Source organism: Homo sapiens, chromosome X (assembly GCF_000001405.40).
Source record: "Homo sapiens chromosome X, GRCh38.p14 Primary Assembly".
Taxonomy (NCBI): domain Eukaryota; kingdom Metazoa; phylum Chordata; class Mammalia; order Primates; family Hominidae; genus Homo; species Homo sapiens.
The window spans coordinates 19,458,433-19,471,383 of NC_000023.11; the positions used below are offsets into that span (position 1 = coordinate 19,458,433).

General features: G+C 43.4%; 1 protein-coding gene across 5 annotated transcripts in view; it reads right to left on the bottom strand.

Moving 5' to 3' along the window:
- The window catches only part of MAP3K15 (mitogen-activated protein kinase kinase kinase 15), a 155,450-nt gene that overhangs the window by 98,374 nt on the left and 44,125 nt on the right, over positions 1-12,951 (bottom strand). For 4 of the 5 annotated variants that reach the window (XR_007068188.1, XM_011545508.4, XM_011545507.4 and 1 more), the window contains exons 4-6: positions 8,234-8,266; positions 5,781-5,974; positions 1,553-1,721 (exon numbers count right to left, since the gene is read on the bottom strand). Coding sequence is in view for 4 of the 5 variants with exons in the window: in XM_011545508.4 (XP_011543810.4) it covers positions 1,553-1,721; positions 5,781-5,974; positions 8,234-8,266 (396 nt within the window). In the remaining variant the exon portion in view is untranslated. The remainder of the gene's footprint in view (positions 1-1,552; positions 1,722-5,780; positions 5,975-8,233; positions 8,267-12,951) is intronic. The other variant, NM_001001671.4, reaches the window with a different exon arrangement.

Sequence of the window (12,951 nt, forward strand, 5' to 3'; positions counted from 1 at the left end):
CTCTGGGAGGCCAAGGCAGATGGATCACCTGAGGTCAGGAGTTTGAGATCAGCCTGCCCAACATGGTGAAACCCCATCCCTACTAAAAATTAAAAAAGTTAGCCAGGCAAGGTGGCAGGCACCTGTAATTCCAGCTACTGGGAAGGCTGAGGCAGGAGAACTGCTTGAACCTGGGAGTCGGAGGTTGCAGTGAGCTGAGATCACACCACTGCACTCCAGCCTGGGTAACAGAGCAAGACTGTGTCTCAATAAATAAATAAATAAATAAAAATTTGAAAAACAGAAATAAAATCAGCTAGCTGCATCTGTTTATCACCAGGGGCAGGAGTTCCTTACTGGTTGACTCTGTTTTGGTCCAGGTCATAAGTGGACGCCTCCATCACTTCAATTTAAAGACTTCTAGCCAACAACTCTCAACATGGCTTTGTGGAATTCTATGAGTAAGGTACGTGATCCTGTGTTCCTCCAAAGGAAAGGAAGCCAAGACATCCTTAGAGATGGCTCAATGGCATTCAACTTGGAGAGAGGAAACGCTCAATTTCCTTCACGGAACCACAGACCAAAAGACCAGTCTCAGAACTCTCCAGTAGCTTCTGATGCTTGTCTCAGAATAAACATCTACATTCCCTGGGTCCTGAATGTGTTTCTGCTACTCCTGTTCTCCCTGTCACTGATGTATGGTGGTAAACAAAGGAGGAAGTGACAAAAGCCTAAAGGAAGTTGCACAGCAGAGGGGTTAGGAACAAGGACAACGGAGCATCAGTCTCAGTCTGAATCCTGACCTAACCAACTGCTGTGTGACCTCGGGCAAGTTACTTAACCGCTCTGTGCCTCAGTTTCCTCATGTGTAAAATGTGGATAATCAGAGTACACATATCCCACATAGGGTTGTTAAGAGGATTAAATGAATTCAGGTTTGTCAAAGGGCTTGGTACAATGCCTAGTGTAAAGTTCATATAAACTTAAATTCTTGGCTCCTTCTGCCAAACAGTCCTGTTTATGACATCTCTTCTTGTCGGAGTGGTCACACCAGCCCCGATGTGACAAAACCTTCTCCAAAATTTCCACCACAACAGATAAGCTGGATGACCTATGACCTAGCCACATACCATTTGTCTATAAAACGGCCACCTCTGGCCGGGCACAGTGGCTCATGCCTGCAATCCCAGCACTTTGGGAGGCCGAGGCGGGTGGATCACCTGAGGTCAGGAGTTTAAGACCAGCCTGACCAACATGGTGAAAACCCTGTCTCTACTAAAAATATAAAGTTATCTGGGCATGGTGGCGCATGCCTGTAATCACAGCTACTCAGGAGGCTGAGGCAGGAGAACAGCTTGAACCCGGGAGGCTGAGGTTGCAGTGAGCCGAGATCGCACCATTGCACTCCAGCCTGGGCAACAAGAGCAAAACTCCATCTCAAAAAAGAAAACAAAAAAGAAGAACAAAACCCAGCCACTTCACCACATACTGAGTATACAAATACTTCACAAGACGTTCCTCAAGCCAAGGAAGAACGTAGCATACGTGAGCCTCGGCTAGGTGGATTTCATACCTGGATATCACGGTAGGACAGGAGTAAGTTAATGATGATGTCTGAGGTCAGAACCTCAGTATTATCCATGCGGAGCTTGATCCGAGCTAGCTCCTTCGCCAGTTCCTCACCTTGGTATTTCTCTCTGGCTTTCCGGATGTCATTTAACAAGGTTTCTTTGTAATAAACACTATAGAAAGAAAAACACAAAATCCTCCAGTCACATCTGCACGCACCCAGGACTGTCTTGCGCCCAAAATGGTTCTCATTGACCTGACTTAGGCTAACACATAGGGACCTCGGCCCAGACCTGAGCCTCCCTGCACCAGCAAACAGAAGATGCTTTCTACTTATTCACATTTTATAGACCAATGAATGACAAGTAAAAATCAGTTCATTCAACCTTGAAGATACTTTCAAAGGTGACTCCCATCTGTACTTGGACAACACACAGAACTTGCAGCCAACCAAACCCACTGTCTCCGGCATTTTCAAACATATAGAGGGTGAGAAGTTACCTTCCTTGTGTATTTATTTTCGCCACTAGTAACAAAGCCAAACGGAGCTCCAAAACCCATGAAACATACATGAGAATGACTTGAAAATGAATTTCTCTATCAGGTGTCTCTCATTAGTAGTCATGAAGCTTTCCCCAATTGAGGTGAGGGCTGGAAACTGGTGTTGAGTCCCTGAGCAATACAAGATGGGACACACAGAGGTCATGCCTGGAAACTTACAGACAGCCTTGCTCTCCTCACCATATTGAATGGCCAGATGTTCTGTTTTTTTGTTTTTTTGTTTTTTTTTTTTTATTTTTATTTATTTTTTTGAGACGGAGTCTCCCTCTGTTGCCCAGGCTGGAGTGCAGTGGTGCAATCTCAGCTCACTGCAACCTCCGCCTCCCTGGTTCAAGCGATTCTCCTGCCTCAGCCTCCCAAGTAGCTGGGACTATAGGCATGTGCCACTACACCTGGCTAATTTTTGTATTGCTATTAGAGACAGGGTTTCTTTCCTTTTTTTTTTTTCTTTTTCTTAAGACAGAGTCTCGCACTTTCGCCCAGGCTGGAGTGCAGTGGCACAATCTCGGCTCACTGCAAGCTCCGCCTCCTGGGTTCATGCCATTCTCTTGCCTCAGCCTCCTGAGTAGCTGGGACCATAGGCGCCCGCCACCATGCCCAGTTAAATTTTTGTATTTTTAGTAGAGATGAGGTTTCACCATGTTAGCCAGGATGGTCTCGATCTCCTGACCTCGTGATCCACCCGCCTCGGCCTCCCAAAGTGCTGGGATTACAGGCGTGAGCCACTGCACCCAGCCAGAACGGGGTTTCACCATGTTGGCCAGGCTGGTCTCAAACTCCTGGACTCAAGTGATCCACCTGCCTCAGCCTTCCAAAGTGCTGGGATTACAGGCGTGAGCCACCATGCCTGGACCCAAGAATAGTTTTCTAATGGAAAACACAAAACTTCCCTCAGGTGAGCAGCTAGATAAGCACGAGGAAGCTTAAAAACACTTAAAGCAGTTAAATTCACGCTGGAATATCACCATAGTCTCTTGAAGAGCCAATGCTATTATCTGGTATTTGGTTTAAAACCTTGAAAAATGACCTAACTTGGTATACATAAGTTGAGTTACAACAACCATAGATTGATTTAAAATATCTTGTCTATTTTCCATAGGAATTTTTAAGTGGAGGTAGGACACTGCCAAGCAGTAATACTGTCGTCCCATTAAGAAGCTGAAATGGGGCCAGGCATAGTGGCTCAGGCCTATAATCTCAGCACTTTTGGAGGCCAAGGCAAGAGGATCACCCGAGCTTAGGAGTTCAAGACCAGCCTGGCCAACGTGGTGAAACCCCGTCTCTACTAAAAATACAAAAACTAACTGGGCTTGGTGGTGGGTGCCTGTAATCCCAGCTACTTCGGAGGTCGAGGCAGGAGAATCGCTCGAACCCGGGAGGCAGAGGTTGCAGTGAACTGAGATCGCACGACTGCACTCCAGCCTGGGCGACAGAGTGAGACTTGGTCTAAAACACACACACACACACACACACACACACACACACACACACACACACAAAACAAAGCTGAAATGGACTAACTGCAGAGTGTAAAATTAGGCTGTTCATTAAAAAGAGAGTAAGCTAAATTTAATAATAGTCTTCAAAGAGAGAAAAACAACATGAGATACGATAAGAACAAATGGTGCCTACTTTCAATAATTACAAAACAATGCCAAATATGTGTACATACAGTACATAACCTGGTCCAATGCTCACAAGAGGACCTCCATTAACATTTAAAGAATGAAGTGACGCACACAGCAGGGGTTCTGATAGAAAAATATCAATGCATTGCTTTAGTTTTCTATTTCCTTTTTTGTTAATTGCCATCATCCCAATAATGAACAAAATTAGCAGATTCTGCCAGTGTTTAAAATTCTGTCACTAATTGAATGAGTCATTAAGTTGGATGCCAGCCATTGCACATTTGGTGGACTATAAAGGCACTGAAGCTATTAAAGTGTTATTAGGTTAGCCCGATAAGTAAAAAGTTATACTTCAGCCTTATTTTTCAAGGGTAATTCTGAAAAATAATTTTAATAAACTAAGAAACCTAAGAAGAACAGTACCTTTTAGGTAAATTAAACACTGGTTTGAGTATGGCTTGGGGACATCAGATATGTAATAAGCATGCAGCCATTTCTGCCCCTGTAACCAAGGAAGATGTTGCTGATCAATGAGCACTTGGAAATGGCTTCCAAGCCATTCCAGCACAGGACTCAAAATAGACTTTATAAATCTATCAGAGCTGGCGCTTGAGCTCAAAACTTCCTTTCCATCTGTGTTATAGATGTTTTAAACTATAAGCACCACTTCCCCTCCTACTAACTGTTGTCAGACACTGCCAGTTCAGAGGGTGGAATCCACCAATAGGTATTTCAAGCCCTTTGAAACTAAATGAAATCACAAGAGTTGTTTGCCTACTGATACATACACACACTGAGTGAGAAACAAACTTGAATCCATGTCTTGCAAAGACCTAAATCATCTGGCAGATCTAGCCAGTCTACCTCCTTGTCAGACTTGAAAATATGGTATTGGGAGAGCTTTCTATAAAACTTCACTCAAGTGTTTGTTTTGCAATCAGACAACAGTTAGCAAGGCATGACTGCATGAGGTTTTCCAGGAATGTGCCACAAAATGTCCCCCATTTGCTCTCTGTGTTGGCATGTGGTCACACATGTTTAGGTTTCTAATCTCCTTTTCCATTAAAGTCTGTAGAAGAAGGTCTGTATCCAGGGAAGAGGTGACGGGATAGAAAAGGAGACCATTAATAAGTGTCTCCCTTGTACCAACACTACAATAGAACACTCCGCAGTTCAGGGTGCCACTATTTGAGCCACAGTGTGACAGGAGGTCCTCTACATTTCATTTCAGGTCAGCTCTGCCAGTGTTTGGGATTTTCATTTGTTTTGGAAGGACAAATCCTTCTCCTTGTGACACAACTTACAGGAATAAATCCTTTAAATTGGCTGCAAGCAAAATAACTGGATCCTTTGGTTAAGAAGAATAATTTTTCTTTTACTTTCACAATAATAACATCTGAAGGTATGGTTTCTTGAGCACTGAGGCTCCAATAGGTGAGCTGACTATTTCAGTGCTACACAGGTAGGAATCATCTAAGCCAAGATTCCAATCTAAACCTATTCACTTCTGCATATTTCACCTCACCTAACCTAAATCTAAAGAGAACACAGCACAGTACATCCTGAGGATAGCTGCAGCTCCACTCAACGCACGAAGGCTTTTAAAGCACGAGAGCGTAAGGTCAGAATGACCTTGCTGAGATATATGAAGAGCCCCAACAGCCACGCGAGTGTAAAGCCATGCTCAGAAATCATCTTGAAACACAGGATCTCAGAGCTGAAAGAGATCGTTAAAAAAAAAAAAATCACTGACAACTTCCTATAAGTTGTCTTATCTAGAAGAGACAGAACAATCAGAGAGAAGAGAAGTTACATGTCAAGATCAAACAGGGAGTCAGGGCCAGACACGGGCTCAATCCCGACTTCTTAACTCCAGTTCTATTCTCTTTTGGTTTCATTTCAGTGGCCCAGCTAAGTGAGCCAGTAAGGGACAATAGTGGGTTCTCCAGCAACTCTGTTCATTTGAAGGTGTACCGCTTCCCTGAAAGAAATGGGGACATCTTGGTGAGTCTCCAGGGGTTACTGGTGGCAGATGGGAATTACCATGAGGTCACGTGGATGTCCTTAAGGAGGCTAATGAACCTGTCCACCAAAGGCATGCACAGCGGGCCCAGGATGTTGTCCCAGTTGGGCTGCATGTACTCGGAGGCTCGTCTCTGGGCATCACTCTCGCAGCAAAAATAATCAGCGCACGGTGTCACGATGTATGGGATGAAATAATAATTTCCACTGGATGCCTGGAAAAAAGAAACAAAGATGTTCCAGAAAGTAACTTATGTGGAAGTGTAGGCTCTGGGCAGGTGGCGCCTGGTGGGACAGGCATGGAGAAAATACTTGAGGATGAAAACAATTCGTTCAATACGACTATGGATCTATTAGGCACAAAACAGGAAACCGCTCGATTTCAAAAGCTCTACCACGTAGATATATGACAAAAATTTGGTTTCAAATACTGAACTGATCTGTATGTATCTCTGAACTTCACTGGCAGAAATTTTAGGGTTTTAAATCTCAGAAATCACATTGTTTCATTATATGTGCCCAAAACCAGAGGGAACATGAACCTCCTGATAAGCAAGGATTGCAACATGGCATATTGTTTTTTCTTTCAGCATAGATGAAAAAGGCATATTATTTGATCATTTAACTATAGGTGAGCTATTATAAACTTTGTGGAATAAAAATTGTTTTGTAGGAAGCATATATTAATATAATGAGTCTCAGATCTCTTCTGCTTTTTGAGACAGGGTCTTGCTCTGTCACCTAGACTGAAGTGCAGTGGCGCGAACATGGCTCACTGCAGCCTCAACCTCCCAGGCTCAAACAACCCTCCCACCTCAGCCTCCCTAGTAGCTGGGACTAAAGGTGCGTGCCACCATGCTCAGCTAATATTTCTATTATTTTGTAGAGATTGGGGTTTTGCCATGTTGCCCAGGCTGGTCTCAAACTTCAGGGCTCAAACAATCCGCCCACCTCAACCTCCCAAAGTGCTGGGACTACAGGCTTGAGCCACCATATCTGGCCTAAATTTCGTATTTTTACGTGTCCTGAAATCATCATCTTACTTTGTTATTTTCCAACCATTAATAAGTGTAAGAACCATTCTTAGCTCCCAGGACATACAGAAACAGGTGACGAGTCAATGTTGTCTTAGACAAAGCTTCTGATATTCTATTATCCCTGAAAATAGGGTTGGTTTTCTGAGAATACTTACATCCTGCTGCAAAGCAGCAGCTGGAGACCATCCTTGTGGGTACCAGCTATTGGTATTAAGTCTGTCAAAACACAAATACTGGCCAGGCGCGGTGGCTCACGCCTGTAATCCCAGCACTTTGGAAGGCAGAGGCGAGTGGATTATTTGAGGTCAGGAGTTTGAGACCAGCCTGGCCAACATGGTGAAACCCCATCTCTACTTAAAAAAAAAAAAAAAAAAAATTAACCGGGTGTGGTAGCACATGCCTGTAGTCCCAGCTACTCAGGAGGCTGAGGCAGGAGAATCACTTGAACCCAGGAGGCGGAGGTTGCATTGAGCCTAGATCGCACCACTGCCCTCCAGCCTGGGCAACAGAGCGAGACTACATCAAAAACAAAACAAAACAAAACCAAAACCCACAAATACCAGTGTTGTAAGTAGAAAGGGTAAAAATTCAGGTGTGTAGGGGTGTGTGTGTGTGTGTGTGTGTGTGTGTGTGTGTGATAAGTGGGGTAGCAGGCTCCTATCTACTTCTTCACAGCCACTAGGAATTGCCTACCCCACAGGAACAAAGACTCTCTGTTCCCTGTGGCACTTTTTTCTTTTTTTGAGACAAGGTCTTGCTCTGTCACCCAGGCTGCAGTGCGGTGGCACAATCACAGCTTACTGCAGTCTCAAACTCCTGGGCTCAAGCGATCCTCCTGCCTTGGCCTCCCAAAGGGTTGGGATTACAGGTGTGAGCCACTGCACCTGGCCTTGTAATACTTTCAAGTTCTTAAAGAGACTCAAATCATTCAGCATTAAGGTTTTGGTAAGTTAGAGGTAAATTTCTCCCTCATCCATGCCAAGAAAGCCATGTTCCTAGACTAAATTAAATGCCATTTACATATTCAAAAGTTAAACTTTCTTTCTTCCACCTTGATATGGTTAGGCTTTGTGTCCCTACCCAAATCTCATCTTGAATTGTAATCCCCGTAATCCCCATGTGTCAAGGTAGAGACCAGGTGGAGGTAACTTGATCATCAGGGGCGGTTTCTCCCATGCTGTTCTCCTGATAGTGAGTGAGTTCTCATGAGACCCGATGGTTTTATAAGGGGCTCTTCCCCCTTCGCTAGGCACTTCTCCTTCCTGCCGCCTTGTGAAGAAGGTATCTTGCCTGCGGCTCCCCCTTCCACCATGATTGTAAGTTTCCTGAGGCCTCCCCAGCCATGCTGAACTGTGAGTGAATTAAACCTGTTTCCTTTACAAATTACCCAGTCTTGGACAGTTCTTTATAGCAGTATGAAAATGGACTAATACACACCTGAAATTGGTTGATGTTATGGTCAAAGACTTCCTAGTTCAGACAGAGGGAGAAAAGGACTGTGTAGATCAGTGAGGTCTAGAAGGAAAAATACCTTTGAAGAAACATCATTTGTTATTTTCAAAAAGTTAAAGTTGGACTGGAAGTGTAAGGAGCTTCCCAGATCCTATCCCCAGAAAGACAACCATAACTGATGAAAATTCTTTTTAAACAGCCATTTAAAGCAAGCTTGTCCAACCGGGGCCCATGGACCACATATGGCCCAGGATGGCTTTGAATGTGGCCCAACACAAATTTGTAAACTTTCTTAAAACATTATGAGATTTACACACAAACTTTTTTTTTAATAGCTCATCAGCTATTGTTAGTGTATTTTACATGTGGCCCAAACAATTCTTCTTCCTCCAATGTGGCCCAGCAAAGCCAAAAGACTGAACACCCCTGATTTAAAGTCTCTATAAGTTGTCCTGAGGGCATGTAGCAAATGGAAAAACATTTTATTCAAGAAAATCTAAATCTTGTTAGTAAGATTCTGCAGCATTTGGGCCATAAACTGCTCCCCCGCCCCCACACCCAGCCCAGACTGACTGAAGTTCTACTCTAAGTAGGTGTGGCCAAGACAAAAGGGCTCCCTCTTGTCCCTGGTCCAGAGTCACTGTTTCTCCTTAGAAGACCAGGCCACCAACATTCTTATTCCTCGCAGCCTGATATTGTAGAAGCTCTATTCCAGGCAAGTGTGGTCAAGATGACCAGGGCTCCCTTGCTCTACCCAGCCTACACCTGTAGGGTAGAAGCTCTACCCTAGGCAAAACAGGCTAAGAGACTGGGCGCAGTGGCTCACACCTGTAATCCCAGCACTTTGGGAGGCCGAGGTGGATGGATCACAAGGACAGGAGTTAGAGACCAGCCTGGCCAACATGGTGAAACCCCCTCTCTACTAAAAATACAAAAATTAGCCAGGTGTGGTGGCAGGCGCCTGTAATCCCAGCTACTTGGGAGGCTGAGGCAGGAGAATTGCTTAAACCCGGGAGGCAGAGGTTGCAGTGAAACCTACGTGGGAGGTTGAGGCAGGAGAATTGCTTAAACCCGGAAGGCAGAGGTTGCAGTGAACCGAGATCGTACCACTGCACTCCAACATGGGCAACAGAGCAAGACTCCGTCTCAAAACAAAACAAAAACAAAGAAACAAACAAAAAACAGGCCAAGAATGCTGAAACTTGATTGTCCCTGCCCCAGCTCCCTCACAGAATGAAGGTTCTATGCCAAGAGAGGCAAGCTGAGAAGACTAGAGGCTGTTGCCCCCAGCCAGCACCCCACTCACAGAGCAGAGTGTCACCCCAAGAGAAACAGACTGCTGTTTCCACTGCCATCTCCACAGCAGTGGTACAGAGCTCTGACCAGGAGAAAGGCAGGCTGTAAGAACTGCAGCTCTTCACAAGGAGAGTGACTTCATGCAGAATGTGCCATGGGGAAGTTTAAGCTCATGAGTGCTGTACAAAACATTATGGAGATTTTGGTGGCTGGCAATTAAGAGAAGGCTGGTAGCTCTGTGATAGGAATATGTAAAGGGTAGACCAGCTAGAAGTTTAACAGAGAGAAATGGGAAAGAGACAGCTAGGAGGAACCTTCCTGAGGTCAGACCAAGCCTTAGGGATTAGTTTTAAGGACTATTCCTGCAAAACTTTAATTGTATCAAACTGTGGAACAATTATGCCTCAAGGTATTGTCAAAAGCAATAGAACAATCAGCTAAGGAGGGAGACTAACAACTCAGTGTAGTACCAGTTGTGTAAGACCAATACAGAAGATTAGTCAGAAACTTAACAGGGAGATCAGGGAAACAGACAGTCAAAGAGAGCCTAGCTGCAACTACTGTCATTCCTGGGTGAGGATACAAGAGTCAGAATAACTGTGCGCATGCCCAAGAGTGTGCCCTTTAAGAAGTGACATCATATGAACTTTAAAGTAGTTTTTTCCAATTCTGTGAAGAAAGTCATTGGTAGCTTGATGGGGATGGCATTGAATCTATAAATTACCTTGGGCAGTATGGCCATTTTCACGATATTGATTCTTCCTACCCATGAGCATGGAATGTTCTTCCATTTGTTTGTATCCTCTTTTATTTCACTGAGCAGTGGTTTGTAGATCTCCTTGAAGAGGCCTTTCACATCCCTTGTAAGTTGGATTCCTAGGTATTTTATTCTCTTTGAAGCAATTGTGAATGGGAGTTCACTCATGATTTGGCTCTCTGTCTGTTATTGGCGTATAAGAATGCTTGTGATTTTTGCACAATGATTTTGTATCCTGAGACTTTGCTGAAGTTGCTTATCAGCTTAAGGAGATTTTGGGCTGAGATGATGGGGTTTTGTAGATATACAATCATGTCATCTGCAAACAGGGATAATTTGACTTCCTTTTTTCCTAATTGAATGCCCTAAGCCAAAAGAACAAAGCTGGAGGCATCACGCTACCTGACTTCAAACTATACTACAAGGCTACGGTAACCAAAACAGCATGGTACTGGTACCAAAACAGAGATATAGACCAATGGAACAGAACAGAGCCCTCAGAAATAATGCCGCATAGCTACAACTATCTGATCTTTGACAAACCTGACAAAAACAAGCAATGGGGAAAGGAGTCCCTATTTAATAAATGGTGCTGGGAAAACTGGCTAGCCATATGGAGAAAGCTGAAACTGGATCCCTTCCTTACACCTTATACACAAATTAATTCAAGATGGATTAGAGACTTACATGTTAGACCTAAAACCATAAAAACCCTAGAAGAAAACCTAGGCAATACCTTTCAGGACATAGGCATGGGCAAGGACTTCATGTCTAAAACACCAAAAGCAATGGCAACAAAAGCCAAAATTGACAAATGGGATCTAATTAAACTAAAGAGCTTCTGCACAGCAAAAGAAACTACCATCAGAGTGAACAGGCAACCTACAGAATGGGAGAAAATTTTTGCAATCTACTCATCTGACAAATGGCTAATATCCAGAATCTACAATGAACTCAAACAAATTTACAAGAAAAAAACAAACAACCCCATCAACAAGTGGGCGAAGGATATGAACAGACACTTCTCAAAAGAAGACATTTATGCAGCCAAAAGACACATGAAAAAACGCTCATCATCACTGGCCATCAGAGAAATGCAAATCAAAACCACAATGAGATACCATCTCACACCAGTTAGAATGGCAATCATTAAAAAGTCAGGAAACAACAGGTGCTGGAGAGGATGTGGAGAAATAGGAACACTTTTACACTGGTGGTGGGACTGTAAACTAGTTCAACCATTGTGGAAGTCAGTGTGGCGATTCCTCAGGGATCTAGAACTAGAAATACCATTTGACCCAGCCATCCCATTACTGGGTATATACCTAAAGGATTATAAACCATGCTGCTATAAAGACACATGCACATGTATGTTTATTGCGGCACTATTCACAATAGCAAAGACTTGGAACCAAGCCAAATGTCCAACAACGATAGACTGGACTAAGAAAATGTGGCACATATACACCATGGAATACTATGCAGCCATAAAAAAGGATGAGTTCATGTCCTTTGTAGGGACATGGATGAAGCTGGAAACCATCATTCTCAGCAAACTATCACAAGGACAAAAAATCAAACACCACATGTTCTCACTCTTAGGTGGGAAATGAACAATGAGAACACATGGACACAGGAAGGGGAACATCACACACCGGAGAATGTTGTGGGGTGGGGGGAGCAGGGAGGGATAGCATTAGGTGCTATACCTAATGCTAAATGACGAGTTAATAGGTGCAGCACACCAACATGGCAAATGTATACATATGTAACAAACCTGCACGTTGTGCACATGTACCCTAAAACTTAAATTAAAAAAAAAAAAAGAAGTGACATCAGAGGCTGCCCATTGCAGAAAAATAGACTTCACTGAACTAGTCAAGTCATGAAACAAATAAACAAGTAAACAACAAAAACAACATGCCCCGGAGGCAGAAGGGAGAAAGATCAGTATCTGGAGTTTCTACAATATATTATCTGAAATGTCCAGTTGTCAACAAAAAATACAAAACATGCAAATACAGGACAGTGTGATCCACATATGGGAAAAACAGTAGGCAATGCTAACTGCCTTTGAAAGGACCCAGATATTAAATGTAGCAGACAATGACTTGAAAGCAGATATTACAAATACGTTCAAAGAACTAAGGGAAACCATACTTAAAGAATTAAAGGAAGGTATTATAACAGTATCTCAAACACAGAAGATAAAGAAAAATTACCAAAAAAAAGGAGGGGGGGTAGGAATTCTGAAGTTGAAAAGTACAACAGCCAAAATGAAAAATTCACTCAGGAGGCTCAACAGGCAATTTGAGTGGCAGAAGAAATAATCAGCAAACTTGAAGATAGAAAAATAGAGATATGCAATCTGAAGAACAAGACAGAAAAAGAAAAAATGAACAAAGTCTTAAAGGAACATGGGACAGCATTAAGTGCACCAACATATGTGACACCTAATATGAGTCCCAGAAGAAGAGGAGAGAAAGGAGCAGAAAAATACTCAAAGAAATAATTGCTGAAAACTTCCTAAATATGATTTTTTTTTTTTGAGATGGAGTTTCACTCTTGTTGCCCAGGTTGGAGTGCAATGGCACGATCTTGGATCACCACAACCTCCGTCTACCAGGTTAAAGTAATTCTCCTGCCTCAG